At 41.1% G+C, this 18423-nt stretch overlaps 1 protein-coding gene across 5 annotated transcripts in view; it reads left to right on the forward strand.

Annotated features, from left to right (window-relative positions):
• Nucleotides 1-18423, forward strand: part of MTA3 (metastasis associated 1 family member 3) — a 262837-nt gene that overhangs the window by 227999 nt on the left and 16415 nt on the right. For all 5 annotated transcript variants that reach the window (NM_001282755.2, NM_001282756.2, NM_001330442.2 and 2 more), the window contains one exon: nt 781-927. In NM_001282755.2, the coding sequence (NP_001269684.1) occupies nt 781-927 (147 nt within the window). The remainder of the gene's footprint in view (nt 1-780; nt 928-18423) is intronic.

The following is an 18423-nucleotide window of genomic DNA, read 5'->3' on the forward strand; positions in this document are numbered from 1 at the left end:
AGAATCAGTGAGCTGCTAAGCTTTAGAAAAAGGCTGCCCAGCTTTAGTAGTAAACTGAAGTTCTTAAATCCAGTTCCTACAGTGTTACAGTTTCTGTCCATCTACAATAAGAGCACGTAGTTCTGGGCTGTATGGCTAACAACAATATACCTTTGTTAAACATGCATATACCACAGGCACATTATGGTTTTGTGATATATCCTTGGATAAAGCATTTCATCTACCTCTTGACTATTGTATTTGGACTTTGGTTTCAGGTTTCATCTATATCAAAATGTTCTAGGCTGCGAGTAATTGATCCTGGTCCCATACTCTGTCTGGTTGCAGAGCCAGAGGAGGAATCCCGTTTTTCAGAAAGTTCGCATACGTGACATGGTGCCTGGTTTGACAGAGCACAGAAGTGTTTTACCCCCCTCACCCCAAGGCTACCTCTCCAGATAGCCTTTTGATGTCTAATATCTTGAGGAGTCAGATGCCTTATTCCCTTAGTAAATCACATGTTGTATGTGACCTTCTGAAGTGGCTTTTTGTTTTGTTTTTGCTTGTATTCACAACCCGAGGCTCAGAGCTCCAGCCAGCAGGGAAAAAACCAGCTTACTTGATAAGCAAAGCCATGGCAACAACACTTGAAGCTGACTCATTATGCAAGTCCTTGGCTGGCTCAGGAGGAACTGACTCTCAGCTCATTAAGAAATAAGATGTGTGCCTATTAGCCAATGTAAATGCACACAGATTTTTAATATCATGTTCTGAATTGAGAAACCTTTTTTCCCCCATCAGAGATCCATCCTGCAAAGAAACCTAATGTAATTCGATCTACACCAAGCCTGCAAACCCCAACTACCAAGCGGATGCTAACAACTCCAAATCACACATCTCTGAGCATTCTGGGGAAAAGAAACTACAGTCATCACAATGGTCTGGATGGTATGTAAGCCCAGGAATTCTGGAGGCTGTTCTGATAGAGTGCCTTCACACTCAGGCATGTGTCTGCCACATCCAAAAATATATTATAAGCATGTTCTTGTATTCCATGATTGAAGTATGTGGTTGAGGAATAAGGGGGAATACAGCCATATGCCACATTTTGCCAAGGGATAGTTCTCCATCCCATCAGGAGGTACTTATTTGCTCCCATCTCCTGTTAGGAGGCGTTTTTGGAGATGAAATCTGTATTTAGCAGATTGCTTCTGCTGGGTAATAATGTTCTTGCTGTGATGCGCGCTCACTGTTCATTTAAGTTTTCTTGAGCAGAAGGGATTATTTTGCCTTATGTCTAAGACATCAGTGTTCTCTGGGGGTTCTTCAGTGTTCCATGGGTCATTCTAAATTTGGCATTTGTCCCTTCTTTTACCTTATAAATGTTTTTAATTGCTCAAGAGTGCTACATGTCATGAAAGGAATTGCCTGGGTGATGTCCTAAATACAGAAATAATAATTTGCTTGAAATGGAAAAATAGAAATATCACCTCTTATCCAAAGTACTTCTCTTGGGCTTGGCCATGTAATGACTCTCCAGGTGGAACTGAATTATCTTCTCATTTGGACTATAAACACAACCATAATAAATCATCCAGGCAGTATATGTTCTTCATTTCAGTAGTTCTGGACTTTGAAACTGTCTTTATTGTTTAAATGTTGGCATTTATTTATGAATAAAACTCTCTCCAGGCTTTTCATGCCTTCTGGAACTCTAAATTACTTATGTGACAGTAAATTATTTATAATGAGGCCCCAGAGCAAGGATGTGGAGTAGACCTTCTAATAATAATTTCCTATGGTTGTTTTCCTCCATTATGACTTTTGATGTTCATAATAATGTCAAAAATGTGTAAAACAGTGAGGGTGAGGAATTGAGTTTGCATTTATAGGTTATCAATGTGTTAAGATATGGTTGTCAAGAATTTAGCTACCCAGAAGTCTTACAGAAACACTTCCTTTCTAATGAGAACGTTGGCCATCCTTGACACAATATACCTGATGTCTAGACAGCAGAAGGAGTGTATCAAAGTGTGAAGATTGGATGTATTTCTTTCAGCCTTTTCTTGCCCACAACCTTTGGATTCAGGCTTGAATGTAATCTAGAATCTCTCTTTTCCATTATACCACCTCCCTGGCCTTTCTAGGCATATAATATTGCTGTAGAAGGTATAAAGTAAGTCCTGAAAAACACACACACACACACACACACACACACACACACACACACACACACACACACACGTATATATTCTTTTCGGTAAAAAGACTGTCGTTGTGGGCCAGGTCCAGTGGCTTATGCTTGTAATCCCAACACTTTGGGAGGCTGAAGCAGGAGGATCACTTGAGCGCAGGAATTCGAGACCAGCCTGGGCAACACAGAGAGACCCTGTCTCTACAAAAAGTTTACAAATTATCTAGTGGCGCATGTCTGTAGTCCCAGCTACTCAGGAGGCTGAGGTGGGAGGATCGATTGAGCCCAGGAGGTCGAGGCTGCAGTGAGCTCTGATCATGCCACTGCACTCCAGCGAGGATGACAGAGACCCCATCACACACACACACACACACACGACTGTTACTGTGACTGATGTTAGCATAGCAGCTTTCTGGTATCTTCTTTCACTCACACCCTGTGGTCATTCTGGATCCCAGTCCTGGCCTGCAATACCTCTTCTGTTGCTCTTTCCTCAGTATCACAGGTACCTGTTTTTCTGGAATTTATTTAAAATGTCACCTTGTAGTGTTCCCTCTCTAGGGCTGTTTGTTTCATTTCCCTCTGAATGAATGCTGCCACACGGTCATTGCTTCTCTGCTCTGAACAGAAGGAATGGACGGGGCACACAATGAATCCTTGGTTTTCTGTAGACAGAGACCTTCAGCCTTTTTGGGGGAAAGACCCATCTTATTTTCTGAAGAGACTTAGCTGCTGAAACACTTCCTTCTTTAAGACCCATTTGTGTTTGCTCTGCTGTCATGGGATGGAGAGGAAGGCTGATGACATGTGCTCGGCACTTGTGCTAACTCCTTTACTGAGTTCTCTCATTTAATTCACATGACAGGAGGTTCTGGGAGGTCAGGGAATTTGTTTTGCATATCATTGTATCTCTGTGCTTAGCACAGTACTTGGCATGTAGTAGGTACTCAATATATATTAGTTGTATAAATGAAGGTGATTGAGAAAAATGAGACCTAGAGAAGTGAATTAAATTTTCCAAAGTTACCAGGCACTACAGAGATGAATTGAGATTCCCACTCAGATGTGACTGATTTCAGAATCTTCTCGTTTAACCACTGTTATGAATGAAATCGTGGCTCTCAAATGCACTGTATTAGGTTCTATCAGCAAAGTAGAAACTATATAAGTTATTTCAACAGCTAATTTCATAAAAGAAATCAGTATGATGGATATTGGAGGACAGAATAAATCAACAGAGAACATGGGGCAGGGGCACAGGAAACAGCCACCATTCTCAGGGTTGGGAGAGCACAAGGAAGAAGCTGGGCTTATCACAACCCAGAAGCTCAAGGAGGGCCTCAGAGCCAGAACGCAACCCAGAGGAGAGGGCACTGCCCTGCCGGTGCAGGCACCTCTCAGGAGGTGTGATGAGGCTGGTTCTGGTACAAGCTTCTGCACCTACCTGGGGGGACACTGACAGGGACAGGACCGAGCAGTTCCTACCTCCCTGCTCCAGCACTGCAGAATCCTTCTAGCGCCCTGCTGGTGTGACACAGAGCCAGACAGCAAAGGGGAAGTGTGCTTGTAGAGTCCCACCCACCCCCAGCATCATGGAGCTGAGAAACAAGAGTGTAATGGAGGCACACATGTTAGAAAGTGCCCACATTCTTGTGTTACGAATGGACCTTTTCATTGGGATAATGGGCCTGTTTCCTATGTCCACAGGGTATAGGATCCTGATTAACCAGAGTTTCCAAGATGAACTCAAAGTACTGGAAAAAATGTTCTGTTAATACTTTTCATGAGCTAGTTATTACCATCATATACTGAAATAGATACAAACTCATGGGAAAGCCTTGTTCTGTGTGATCCAATAATAAAATCAATTAGCACTGCTACTTAATTATCAGCATGTCAGACAGATGAGCATACCAAACAGAGTGTTGATGGGCAGAAGAAACTGAATTGGAAACAACACCCGGGGCTGCTGAGATGTTTAGGCCTCTTAGCTTTAGGGCAGCCTGCCCCCTTCAGTGGCTTGCCTCCTCCACTCACCCTCTACCTTTGCATTGCAGGTTCTTTTTTTTTTTTTAATTTTATTATTATTGTACTTCAAGTTTTAGGGTACATGTGCACAATGTGCAGGTTAGTTACATATGTATACATGTGCCATGCTGGTGTGCTGCACCCATTAACTCGTCATTTAGCATTAGGTATACCTCCTAATGCTATCCCTCCCCACTCCCCCCAACCCACAACAGTCCCCAGAGTGTGATGTTCCCCTTCCTGTGTCCATGTGTTCTCATTGTTCAATTCCCACCTATGAGTGAGAACATGCGGTGTTTGTTTTTTTGTCCTTGCATTGCAGGTTCTTGATGATGGGAAAGGAGTCTGTGAATTTGGGCTAGCAGAAAGGATTTTGCTTGGCATTAGAAAAAAAAGATGGACAGCTTCTTATTTCCTCCCTGAAAATCACGGTCTTTCCTGGCCCTGATGAAGGCCTTTTAAAGAAAGGCCTTGGTATGGACTGGGTGCAGATAGTCAGAACTCTGTATGCTCTATTAAGGAAACTCCAGGGCCACACACAGGCCCTGTGACCAATCTAATAGAATCTAAACTCCAAAGGTGAAGATGAAAGATGTATACATAGGGGGAGTGGTGGCTTGCACTGGTAATCCCAGCAACTCTGGAGGCCAAAGCGGGAGGCTCACTTGAGCCCAGAATTTGAGACCAGCCTAGGCAACACAGTGAGACCCCAACTCTAAAAAAGTTTTTGTTTTAAATTAGCTGGATGTAGTGGCATGCACCCACAGTTCTAGCTACTTGGCGGGGGCTGAGGCAGAAGCATTGCTTGAGCCCAGGAGGTTGAGACTGCAGTGAGCTATGATTGTATCACTGTACTCTAGCCTGGGTTACAGAGTGAGATCCTGTCTCTTAAAAAGAAAGAAAGAAAGAAAGAAATCTGCATACGCAAGAAGCCTCAGTACTCAGTGCAAGGAGTCAGTAATGATAAAAAGAATAAAGGTTCAAAATTAGAGATCTGCACAGTGCCTTGCCAGTCTCCCTATACTTCAGTCTTTCTCCCTAGGATGTCGGTCCAGCAGTGTGCCGTATGCTGTCATTGTGGTTTCCAGTCCCATCTCCTCCACTGTGGACATTTTTACTGCTAGCAAACCAGGTATCACCTACTATGTTTGCCCTACTTGGTTAACTCCAAGTGGCTGTGAGTAGGTGAGGGCTTAGGCCAGCAGGGATAGAAGAGCCATTACTGGAAAACATTTCCATGTCAGAAAGCCCTGAAGAGAAGGCAGCAGGGGGAGATGGAACTTGTCTGTGCCATGGGGGGAAAAAGGGGTATCTGAGTGTTTGGAATCAGTTAGGATTAATTGCTTACTCCTCTGATTGCTTCTTGTGTGACCTTGGGTGAATCACATGGTTTTTTTTTTGGATGAGTTTTCTCCTCTATAAATCTGTAGAATACAGATGACATTTGCCTTACAGAATTGATCTTACGATTGAAAATTTTCATGTGCTTTATTTTTTAATTTTTAATTTTTTGTGGATACATAGTAGATGTATGTATTTATGGGATACATGAGATGTTTTGATACAGGCATATAATGCTTAATAATCACATGAGGGTAAATGGGTTATCCATTACCTAAAGCATTTATTCTTTCTTTGGTCACAGACAGTGCAATTTTACTCTTTTAGTTATTTTAACATGTACGATAAATTATTGTTGCTGTAGTCACCCTGTTAGCTATCAAATACTAGATCTTATTCATTCTATCTAACTATATTTTTGTACCCATTAATCATACCTCCTACCACTATCCTTCCTACCTTCTGATAACCACCATTCTACTCTCTATCTCCATGAGTTCAATTTTTTTAAATTTTTAGTACAAGTAAGTGAGAATGTGCAGTTTGTCTTTCTGTTCATGGCTTATTTCACTTAACATAATGTCCTCCAGCTTTATCCATGTTGTTGCAAATGACAGGATTTCATTCTTTTTTGTCTGAATAGTACTCCATTGTGTATATGTACCACATTTTCTTTATCAACTTGTCTGTTGATGGACACTTAGGTTGCTTCCAAATCTTGGCTACTGTGAATAGTACTGCAGTAAACATGGGAGTGCAGATATCTCTTCAATACGCTGATTTCTTTTCTTTTGGGTATATAACAGCAGGATTGCTGGATCATATGGTAGTTCTATTTTTAGTTTTTTGAGGATCCTCCAAACTGTTCTCATAGTGGTTGTACTAATTTACATTCCCACCAACAGTGTATAGGGTTCCCACCAACAGTGTATGAGGGTTCCCTTTTCTCCATATCTTTGCCAGCATTCCTTATTGCCTGCCTTTTGGATAAGAGCTATTTTAACTGGGGCTAAATGATACCTCATTGTAGTTTTGATTTGCATTTCTCTGATGATCATTGGTGTTGAACACCTTTCCATATGCCTGTTTGCCATTTGTATGTCTTCTTTTGAGAAATGTCTTTTCACACCTTTTGCCCATTTTTAATCAGATTATTAGATTGTTTTCCTATTGAGTTGTTTGAGCTCCGTATATATTCTAGCTATTAATCCCTTGTCAGATGGATAGCAGATATTTTCTCCCATTCTGTGCATTGTCTCTTCACTTTGTTGACTGTTTCTTTTGCTGTGCAAAAGCTTTTTAACTTGATATGATCTAATTTGTCTATTTTTGCTTTGGTTGCCTGTGCCTGTGGATATTACTCAAGAAATATTTGCCCAGAACAATGTCCTAGAAAGTTTCTCCAGTGTTTTCTTTTATTAGTTTCACAGTTTGAGTTTTTTTTTTTTTTTTTTTTTTTTTTTCACAGAGTCATGCTCTGTTGCTCAGGCTGGAGTGCAGTGGCACAATCTCGGCTCACTGCAAGCTCTACCTTCCGGGGGGTTCATGCAATTCTCCTGCCTCAGCCTACCCAGTAGCTGGGACTACAGGCGCCCACCACCACGCCCGGCTAATTTTTTGTATTTTTTTTTTAGTAGAGACGGGGTTTCACCGTGTTAGCCAGGATGATCTCGATCCCCTGACCTTGTGATCCACCTGCCTCGGTCTCCCAAAGTGCTGGGATTACAGGCGTGAGCCACTGCGCCCAGCCCAGAGTTTGAGGTCTTAGATTGAAGTATTTAATTTATTTTGATTTGATTTTTGTATATGGCAAGAAAGAGGGGTCTAGTTTTATTATTCTGCATATGGCTATCCAGTTTTCCCAGTGCCATTTATTGAAGAGACTATATTTTCTCCAATGTATGTTCTTGGCACCATTGTTTTAAATGAGTTTAAAATGAGTTTATACTGTAGATGTATAGATTTGTTTCTGGGTTCTCCATTCTGTTCCATTGGTCTGTATGTCTGTTTTTATGCCAGTACCATGCTGTTTTGCTTACCATAGCTCTGTAGTATAATTTGAAGTCAGATGAAGTGATTTTTCCAGTTTTGTTCCTTTTGTTCAGAATAGCTTTGGCTATACTGGGTCTTTTGTGATTCCATATAAATTTTAGGACTATTATTTCTATCTCTGCGAAGAACATCATTGGTATTTTGATAGGCATTGCATTGAATCCATAGATTGCTTTGAGTTAGTATGGACATTTTAACAGTATCGATTCTTCCAATCCATGAATATGGGATATCTTTGCATTTTTTGGTGTCCTCTTCAATTTCTTGCATCAGTGGTTTATAGTTTTCATTGTAGAGATCTTTCACTTCTTTTTCAGATTGTTTAGTGTTGTCATATAGAAATACTACTGATTTTTGTATGTTGATTTTGTATCCTGCAACTTTACTCAATTTGTTTGTCAGTTCTAATAGCTTTCTTGTGGAGTCTTTAGGTTTTTCCAAATATAAGATCATATCATCTGCAAACAAGGATAATTTGACTCCTTATTTTCCAATTTGATGACTTTTTTTTTCTTGTTTTATTGCTGTAGCTAGAACTTCCAGTACTCTGTTAAATAACAGTGGTGAAACTGGGCATCCTTGTCTTGTTTTAAATCTTAGAGGAAAGGCTTTCAGCTTTTCCCTGTTCAGTATGATACTAGCTATGGATCTGTTATATATGGCTTTTATTGTGTTGAAGTGTGTTCCTTGTATTCCTGGTTTTTTAAGGATTTTTATCATGAGGGGATGTTGAATTTTATCAAATGCTTTTCAGCCTCAATTAAAATAATCAGATGGTTTTTGTCTTTCAGTTGATGTGATATATTACACTGATTGATTTGTGATTGACTTGCATGCTTGCATTCCTGGGATAAATCCCACTTGGTCATGAGATAATCTTGTTAAATGAATTGTTGAATTCAATTTGCTAGTATTTTGTTGAGGTTTTTTCGTCAGTGTTCATCAGGACATTGACTTGTAGCTTTTTCTGATATGTCTTTTTCTGGTTTTGCTATCAGAGTAATACTGGCCTTGCAGAATGAATTTGGAAATATTTCTTTCTCCTTTATTTTTTGGAGTAGTTTCAGTAGGATAGGTTTTAGTTCTTCTTTAAATGTTTTATAAAATTCAGCAGTGAAGCCATAGGGTCCTGGGCTTTTTTTCTTTGCTAGGAGACTTTTTATTATGGCCTTGATCTCATTACTTGTTATTGGTCTGTTTAGGTTTTGGATTTCTTGATGATTCAATCTTGGTAGGTTGTATGTGTCTAGGAATGTATCCATTTCTTCTAGCTTTTCCAGTTTGTTGGCATTTAATTGCTTATGATAGTCTCTAATGATCCTCTGAATTTCTGTGATATCAGTTGTAACGTCTCCTTTTTCATCTCTGATTTTATTTGTGTCTTCTCTCTTTTTCTCTTTAGTCTGGCTAAAGGTTTATTGATTTTGTTTATAATTTCAAAAAATCACCTTTTTGTTCCATTGACCTTTTGTATTGCTTCCTTCATTTTGATTCAACTTATTTCTGCTCCGATCTTTATTATTTCTTTTCTTTTACTATTTTGGATTTAGTTTGCTTTTGCTTTCCTAGTTCTTTAATATGCACTGATTAGGTTATATGAAGTATTTCTAATTTTTTGATGTAGGCTTGTATTAGTCTGTTTTCACACTGCTGATAAAGACATATCTGAGACTGGGAAGAAAAAGAGGTTTAATTGGACTTACAGTTCCATATGCCTGGGGAAGTCTCAGAATCTGGTGGGAGGCCAAAGGCACTTTTTACATGGTGGCAGCAAGAGAAAATGAGGAAGAAGCAAAAGCAGAAACTTCTAATAAACCCATCAGATCTCGTGAGACTTACTCACTATGACAAGAATAGCGTGGGAAAGACCGACCCCCATGATTGAATTACTTCCCCCTCCCACAACACATGGGAATTCTGGGAGATACAATTCAAGTTGAGATTTGGGTGGCGACACAGCCAAACCATATCATTCCACCCCTGGCCCCTCCAAATCTCATATCCTCACATTTCAAAACCAATCATGCCTTCCCAACAGTCCCCCAAAGTCTTAACTCATTTTAGCATTAACCCAAAAGTCCACAGTCCAGTCTCATTTGAGTCAAGGCAAGTCCCTTCTCCCTATGAGTCTGTAAAATCAAAAGCAAGCTAATTACTTCCTAGATACAGTGGGGGTACAGGTATTGGGTAAATACAGCCGTTCCAAATGGGAGAAATTGGCCAAAACAAAGGGGTTATAGAGCCCATTCAAGTCTGAAATCCAGTTGGGCAGTCAAATTTTAAAGCTCCAAAATGATCTCCTTTGACTCCGGGTCTCATATCCAGGTCATGCTGACAAAATGACCTGGTACACAGTGTAAACTGTTGGTGGATCTGCCATTCTGGGGTGTGGAGGACGGTGGCCCTCTTCTCACGGCTGCACTAGGCAGTGCCCCAGTAGGGACTCTGTGTGGGGACTCTGGCCCCACATTTCACTTCCACACTTCCCTAGCAGAGGTTCTCCATGAGGGCCCTGCCCCTGCAGCAAACTTTTGCCTGGGCATCCAGGCATTTCCATACATCTTCTGAAATCTAGATGGAGGCCCCCAAACCTCAATTCTTGACTTCTGTGCACCCACAGGCTCAACACCATGTGGAAGCTGCCAAGGCTTGGGGTTTCCACACTCTGAAGCCACGGCCTAAGCTCTACATTTGCCCCTTTCAGCCACAGCTGGAGCAGCTGAGACACAGGGTACCAAGTCCCTAGGCTGCACACAGCACAGGGACCCTGGGCCTGGCCTATGAAACCACTTTTTCTTCCTGAGCCTCCAGGCCTGTTATGGAAGGGACTGCTGTGAAGACCTCTGACATGGCCTAGAGACATTTTCCCCATGGTCTTGGGGATTAACATTAGGCTTCTTGCTACTTATGCAAATTTCTACAGCCAGCATTAATTTCTCCCCAGAAAATGGGTTTTTCTTTTCTATCGCATAGTCAGGCTGCAAATATTCTGAACTTTTATGCTGTTTCCCTTTTAAAACTGAATGCAGTACCCAAGTGACCTCTTGAATGCTTTGCTGCTTAGAAATTTTTTCTGCCAGATATGCTAAATCATCTTTCTCAAGTTCAAAGTTCCACAAATCTCTAGGGCAGGGGCAAAATGCCACTAGTCTCTTTGCTGAAACATAACAAGAGTCACCTTTGCTCCAGTTCCCGAGTTCCTCATCCCCACCTGAGACCACCTCAGCCTGGACCTTTTTGTCCATATCACTATCAGCATTTTGGGCAAAGCCATTCAGCAAGTCTGTAGGAAGTTCCAAACTTTCCCACATTTTCCTGACTTCTTCTGAGCTCTCCAAACTGTTCCAACCTGTGCCTGTCATCCAGTTACAAAGTCGCTTCCACATTTTCGGGTATCTTTTCAGCAACACCCCACTCTGCTGGTACCAATGTACTGTATTAGTCTGTTTTCACACTGCTGATAAAGACATACCCGAGAATGGGAAGAAAAAGAGGTTTAATTGGACTTACAGTTCCATATGGCTGGGGAGGCCTCAGAATCATGGCAGGAGGTGAAAGGCACATCTTACATGGTGACAGCAAGAGAAAATGAAGAAACAAATGCAGAAACCCCTGATAAACTCATCAGATCTTGTGAGACTTTTTCACTATCATGAGAATAGCACAGGAAAGACTGGCCGCCATGACTCAATTACCTCCCTCTGGGTCCCTACCACAACATGTGGGAATTCCGGGAGGTACAATTCAAGTTGAGATTTGGGTGGCGACACAGCCAAACCATATCAAGGCTCTTTTTGCTATAAACTTTCCTCTTAGTTTGCTTTTGCTATATCCCATAGGTTTTGGTATGTTGTATTTCCCTTATCATTTGTTTCAATACATTTTTAAATTTCCTTCTTAATGTTTTCATCGACCCACTGGTCATTCAGGAGCATATTGTGTTTTTGCTTGTTTGTTTTTGTTATTGTTGTTGTTTTGTAGAGACAGGGTCTCACTGTGTTGCCCAGGCTGCTCTTGAACTCCTGGACTGAAGCAATCCTCCTGACTCAGGTTTCCCAAAGTGCTGGGATTACAGGTATGAGCCACTGCACCTGGCCCAGGAGCATATTGTTTAATTTCCATGTGTTTGTGTAGTTTCCAATATTCCTGTTGTTATTGATTTCTACTTTTATTTTACTGTGATCAGAAAAGATACTTGATATAAATTTATTTTATATAAATTTTTAAAGACTGTTTTTGTGGCCTAACATATGGTCTGTCCTATGATCCACATGCTAAGGAGAAGAATATGTATTCTTTAGCCTTCAGATAAAATGTTCTGTAAATATTTATTGGGTTTGTTTGGTCTACAGTGCAGATTAAGTCCTAGGTTTCTTTACTGACTTTCTGTCTGGACGATGTGTTCATTGCTGAAAGTGAGGTGTTGAAGTCTCTAGCTATTATTGTTTTGTGGTCTCTCTCTCTCTCTGTAGTGCAAATAATATTTGCTTTATGTATCTGGGTGCTCCAGTGCTTGGTGCATATATATTTGTAATTGTTACTGCCTCTTACTGAATTGACCCCTTTATCATTATAAAAATGACCTTCTTTGTCTCTTTTTATAGTTTTTGTCTTTAAATCTTTTTTGTCTGATATAAGTATAGCTACTCCTGCTCTTTTTTGGTTTCCATTTGCATGGAATTTTTTTTTTTTTCCATCCCTTTACTTTGTTTCTCTGTGTGTCTTTATAGGTAAAGCGTGTTTCTTGTAGGCAACAGATCACGGGGCCTTTTTTTTTTTTTTTTTTTTTTAATCCATTCAACCACTTTATGTCTTTTGGTTGGAGAGTTTGGTCCATTTACATTCAGTGTTATTGTTGATAAGTAATGACTTAATCCTGCCATTTTTAAAATTTGTTTTCTCGTTATTTTGTGGTCTTCTCTTCCTTCTTCCTTCCTGTCTTCCTTTTAGTGAAATTGATTTTCTCTGGTGTTATGTTTTAATTTCCTGCCTTTTATTTTTTGTGTATCTGTTGTATGTTTTTTGATTTCTGGTTACCATAAGGCTTGCAAAAAATATCTTATAACCTGTTATTTTAAACTGATGCCAAGTTGACACTGATTGCATAAACAGACAAACAAATAGGCAAAGAGAAAACTAGTGGAAACTCTCTACACTTTAACTTCATCCCCCGCTTTTTAACTTTTTGTTGTTTATATTTATATCTTATACTGCTTATCTCTTGCAAAGTTGTTGTAGTTATTATTTTTGATAGCTTCATATTTTAGTCTTTCTAGTCAAGATATGAGTAGTTTACAGACAATTACACTGTTATAATATTCTGTGTTTTTCTGTGTGCTTACTATTACCAGTAAGTTTTGTACCTTCAGATCATTTCTTATTGCTCATTAATGTCTTTTTCTTTCAGATTGAAGAACTCCCTTTAGCATTTCTTGTAGGACAGGTATAGTGTTGATGACATTTTTTAGCTTTTGTTTGTCTGGGAAAATCTTTATTACTCCTTCATGCTTGAAGGATATTTTTGCTGGATATACTATTCTAAGATAAAAGTTTTTTTCCTTTAGCACTTTAAATATATCGTGACACTCTATTCTGGCCTGTAAGGTTTCCACTAAGAAGTCTGCTGCCAGACATATTGGATCTCCTTTGTATGATATTTGTTCCTTTTCTCTTGCTACTTTTAGGATCTTTTTAAAATCCTTGACTTTTGGGAGTTTGATTATTAAATGTCTTGAGGTAATCTTCTTTGGGTTAAATGTGCTTGATATCCTATAACCTTCTTGTACTTAAATATTGATATCTTTCTCTAGGTTTGAGAAGTTTTCTGTTATCCCTTTGAATAATCTTTCTACAATCTGTCCCTCTACTTCCTCTTTAAGAACAATAACTTTTAGATTTGCCCCTTTGAAGCTATTTTCTAGATCTTTTAAGTGTGCTTCATTGCTTTTTATTCTTTATTCTCTTGTCTCCTCTGACTGTGTATTTCAAATAGCCTGTCTTCAAGCTGACTAATTCTTTCTTGTGCTTGATCAATTCATTAAGAGACTCTGATGTATTTTTCAGTATGTCAATTGCATTTTTCGCTCCAGAATTTCTGCTTGGGTCTTTTAAATTATTTCAGCATCTTTCTTAATTTTATTCTATTATTGAATTCTGTTGTGCTTCCTCAAAACACTTATTTTGAATTCTCTGTCTGAAAGGACACATATCTCCATCTCTCTGGGATTGGTCACTGGTGTCTTATTTAGCTTGTTTGGTGAGGTCATGTTTTCATGGATGGTCTTGAAGTTTGTGGATATTCTTCAGTGTCTGGGCATTGAAGAGTTAGGTATTTGTTGTAGTCTTCACAGTTTGGGCTTGTTTGTCCGCATCCTTCTTGGGAAGGCTTTCCAACTATTAGAAGGGATTTGGGTGTTGTGATCTAAGTCTTTGTTCACTGCAGCCATACCTGCATTAGGGGGCACCTCCAGCCCAGTAATGCTGTGTCTCTTGCCTTGGTTGTCTTGGGTAAGATCTGGGAGAATTCCCTGGATTACTAGGTGGAGACTCTTGTTCTCTTCTTTTACTTTCACTCAAACAAATGGACACTATGTCTCTGTGCTGAGCTGCCTGGAGCTGGAGAAGGGATGATGACACAAGCACCCCTGTGGCGACTACCACTGGGACAGCTCTGTGTCAGACCTGAAGCCAACACAGCACTGGGGCTCACCCAAGGCCTATGATGATCACTGCCTGGCTACCACCTGTGTTCACTCAAGGTCCAAGGACTCTCCAATCAGCAGGTGGCATATCCAGCCAGGCATCTTCCCTTCAGGGCAGTGAGTTCACTGTGACCCCAAGTAGGTCCAGAGATGCCAACTGGGAGCCAGGGCCTGGAGTCAGGAACCTTAGGAATCTACCTGGTGTTCTACCCTAGAGTGGCCAATCTGGTACCCAAGTTGTAAGACAAAGTCTTCTTACTCTTCTCTCTCCTTTCCTCAAGCAGAAAGAGTCTCTCCTCATAGCCACCCACCTGGGAATGTGCTGGGTCACATCTGAAGCCAGCATGTCTCTGAGTCTCATCCAAGGCACACAACAAGTACTGCCTGGATACCACTGCTGATTATTCAGGGCCCAAGGGCTTTTTAGTCAGCAGCTGGTGAATCCTGCCAGGACTGGATCCTTCCCTTCAAGGCAGTGGGCTTTCTTCCTGCTTGAAGTGTGTTTTCAAATGTCATCTGGGAGTTAGGGCCTGGAATGGGGGCCTCACAGCTGTGTCTGGTGCCCCATCCTACTGTGGCTGAGCCAGTATCAAAGTTGCAAGAGAAAGTCCTCTTTACTCTATCCTTTTCTCTCCTAAGCAGGAGGAAGGAGTCTCTGCAAGGGCTGTGAGCTGTGCTGCCTGAGACTGGGGGAAGTGTGGTGTAAGCATTCCCTTAGCAGCCCTGGCTGGTATCTCACTAGGTGATATGCTCCCCAAGTCCATTGGCTCCAAGACCAGCACAGCACCAGGATTTGCCTAGGAATTGCAGTCCTTGTGGCCTAGACTGCCTTTCAAGTTTATTTAGGAACCCAGAGCACTTTAACCCACAGTGGAAGGGCTTGCCAGAACTCAGGTTCCAACTGCTGGGATGAGCTATTCCCCTCTGGCTAAGGCTGGCCTAAATGCTCCTTCTGTGGGCACCGGCTGAGTTCTGCCTCGTATTGCTTTCCACTGTGTCAGGGCAGCACTGGGTTCCAATGCAAAGTTTCACAATCACTGTGTTCTCCCTCCCTCTTCCCTTCCCTCTTCAGTGCCTGTTTTCTTAATATGATGTTAAAATCAGGTACTGTGATCGCTTACCTGATTTTTGGTTCTTATGAAGGTGCTTTTTTGTGTAGCTAGTTCTTCAATTTGGTGTTCCTTCAGCAGGGACAATTGCTGAAGGCTTCTATTTGATCATCTTGCTCTGCCTCCCTCTTTTCATGTACTTTATATCACTTGGTTTTCCAAATACTTTATGAGGTAAATGTTATAACCTACATTTTAGGAATGGAAAAAATAGAAGCTCAAGAAGGTTGAAGAATTTGCCCAAAGTCGCATTGCTAGAAAGTAGCAGAGATGGGATCTAAACTCCAAATCTAGTGTTTTTTCCACCGAATGAATACAGGCCCAGATTTGTATATTGAATACAGCATTTACAGGCATACCTCAGAGATACTATTGAGTTCAGTTCAACACCACTGCAATAAAGCTAATATCACAATAAAGCAAGTCACATGAGTTTTCTGGTTTCCCAGTGCATATAAAGTTATGTTGGCTGGGAGTGATGGCACATATCTGTAATCCCAACACTTTGGGAGGCCAAGGCAGGCAGATTGCTTGAGCCTAGGAGTTTGAGATCAGCATTGGCAACATGCTGAAACCTTGTCCCTACAAAAAATACAAAAATTAGCTGATCATGGTGGCATGTGCCTGTAGTCCCAGCTACTCGGGAGGCTGAGGTGGGAGGGTGGATTGAGACTGGGAGGTCGGAGCTGCAGTGAGCCAAGATTGCACCACTGGACAAGGCTGGGCAACAGAGTGTGTTGCAGGAAGTCAGGGACCCCAAACAGAGAGACCGGCTGAAACCATGGCAGAAGAACGTGGATTGTGAAGATTTTATGGGCATTTATTAGTTCCCCAAATGAATACTTTTGTAATTTCTTATGCCTGTCTTTACTGCAGTCTCTAAACATAAATTGTAAAGATTTCATGGACACTTACCACTTCCCCAGTCAATACCCTTGTGATTTCCTATGCCCGTCTTTACTTCAATCTCTTAATCCTGTCAGCCGAGGAGGATGTATGTTGCCTCAGGACTATGTGATAATTGCATTAACTGCACAAATTGTACAGCATGTGTGTTTGTGCAATATGAAATCTGAGCACCTTGAAAAACAGGATAACAGCAATTGTTCAGGGAGTAAGAGAGATAACCTTAAACTCTGACTGCTGGTGAGCCAGGCAGAACAGAGCCATATTTCTCTTGTTTCAAAAGCAAATGGGAGAAATATTGCTGAATTCTTTTTCTCAGCATGGAACGTCCCTGAGAAAGAGAATGCGCACGTAGGGGTAGCTCTCTGAACTGGCCCCCCAGGGCGTACCTGTTTCTTATGGTTGAGACTGCAGGGGTGAAATAAACTCCAGTCTCCCATAGCGCTCCAAGGCTTATTAGGAAGAGGAAATTCCTGCTTAATAAATTTTGGTCAGACCGGTTGATCTCAAAACCCTGTCTCCTGATAAGATGTTATCAATGACAATGGTGCCCGAAACTTCATTAGCAATTTTAATTTCGCCTGGGTCCTGTGGTCCTGTGATCTCGCCCTGCCTCCACTTGCCTTGTGATATTCTATTACCCTGTTAAGTACTTGATGTCTGTCACCCACACCTATTTGCACACTCCCTCCCCTTTTGAAAATCCCTAATAAAAACTTGCTGGTTTTTGTGGCTTGTGGGGCATCACAGATCCTACCAACGTGTGATGTCTCCCCCAGATGCCCAGCTTTAAAATTTCTCTCTTTTGTACACTGTCCCTTTATTTCTCAAGCCAGCCGACACTTAGGAAAATAGAAAAGAACCTACGTGATTATCGGGGCAGGTCCCCCAGTAAGAGTGAGACCTTGTCTCAAAAACAAACAGACAATAATTATGTTTACACTATACTGTAGTCTATTAAGTGTGCAATAGCATTATGTATAAAATAACAATGTATATACCTTAATTTTAAAAATACTTTATTGCTAAAAAAAAAAAAAAAGCTAATGATCATCTGAGCCTTCTATGAGTCATAATCTTTTTGCTGCTGGAAGGTCTTGCCTCAATGTTGATGGCCACTGTTGATCAGGATGGTGGTTGCTGAAGCTTAGGGTAGCTGTGACAGTTTCTTAAAGTAAGACCACATTGACATTTGCTACATCAGTGGACTCTTCCTTTCACGAAAGATTTCTTTGTGGCGTGTGATGCTCTTTGATAGTATTTTACCCACATTAGAACTTCTTTCAAAATTAGAGTCAATCCTCTCAAACTCTGCTGCTGCTTTACCAACTAAGTTTATGTAATATTCTAAGTCCTTTATTTTCATCTCAACATGTTCACAGCGTGTTCAGGAGTAGTTTCCATCTTAAGAAACAACTTTCATTGTTCATCCGTAAGAAGCAACTACTCATCTGTTCAAGTTTTATCATGAGATTGTAGCAATTTAGCCACATCTTCAGGTTCCACTTCTCATTCTAATTCTCCTGCTATGTCCACCATATCTGCAGTTACATCCTCCACTGAAGTCCTGAACCTTTCAAAGTTATCCATGAGGGTTGGAATCAATTTCTTCTGAACTCCTGTTAGTATTGATATTTTGGCCTCCTCCCATGAATTTCTGATGTTCTAATGGCATCTATAAAGGTGAGTCCTCTCTAGCAGGTTTTCAGTTGACTTTGCCCAGATCCATCAGAGGAATCATTATCTATGGCAGGCATAGCCTTACAAAATGTATTTCCTGAATAAGACTTGAAAGTTAAACTTATTCCTTGGCTGGGCGTGGTGGTTTACACCTGTAGTCCCAGCACTTTGGGAGGCCAAGACAGGTGGATTGCTTGAGTCCAGAAGTTCAAGACCAGCCGGGACAACATAGCGAAACCCTGTCTCTATAAAAAATACAAAAACTTGCCAGTCATAGTAGCACATGGCCTGTAGTCCCAGCTACTCAGGAGGCTGAGGTGGGAAGATCACTTGAGCCCAGGAGGTCGAGGCCCAGTGAGCCATGTCACTGCACTCCAGCCTGGGTGACAAAGCAGGACCCTGTCTCCAATGAATGAATGAATGAATCAGTGAA

Source organism: Homo sapiens, chromosome 2 (genome assembly GCF_000001405.40).
Source record: "Homo sapiens chromosome 2, GRCh38.p14 Primary Assembly".
Lineage (NCBI taxonomy): Eukaryota > Metazoa > Chordata > Mammalia > Primates > Hominidae > Homo > Homo sapiens.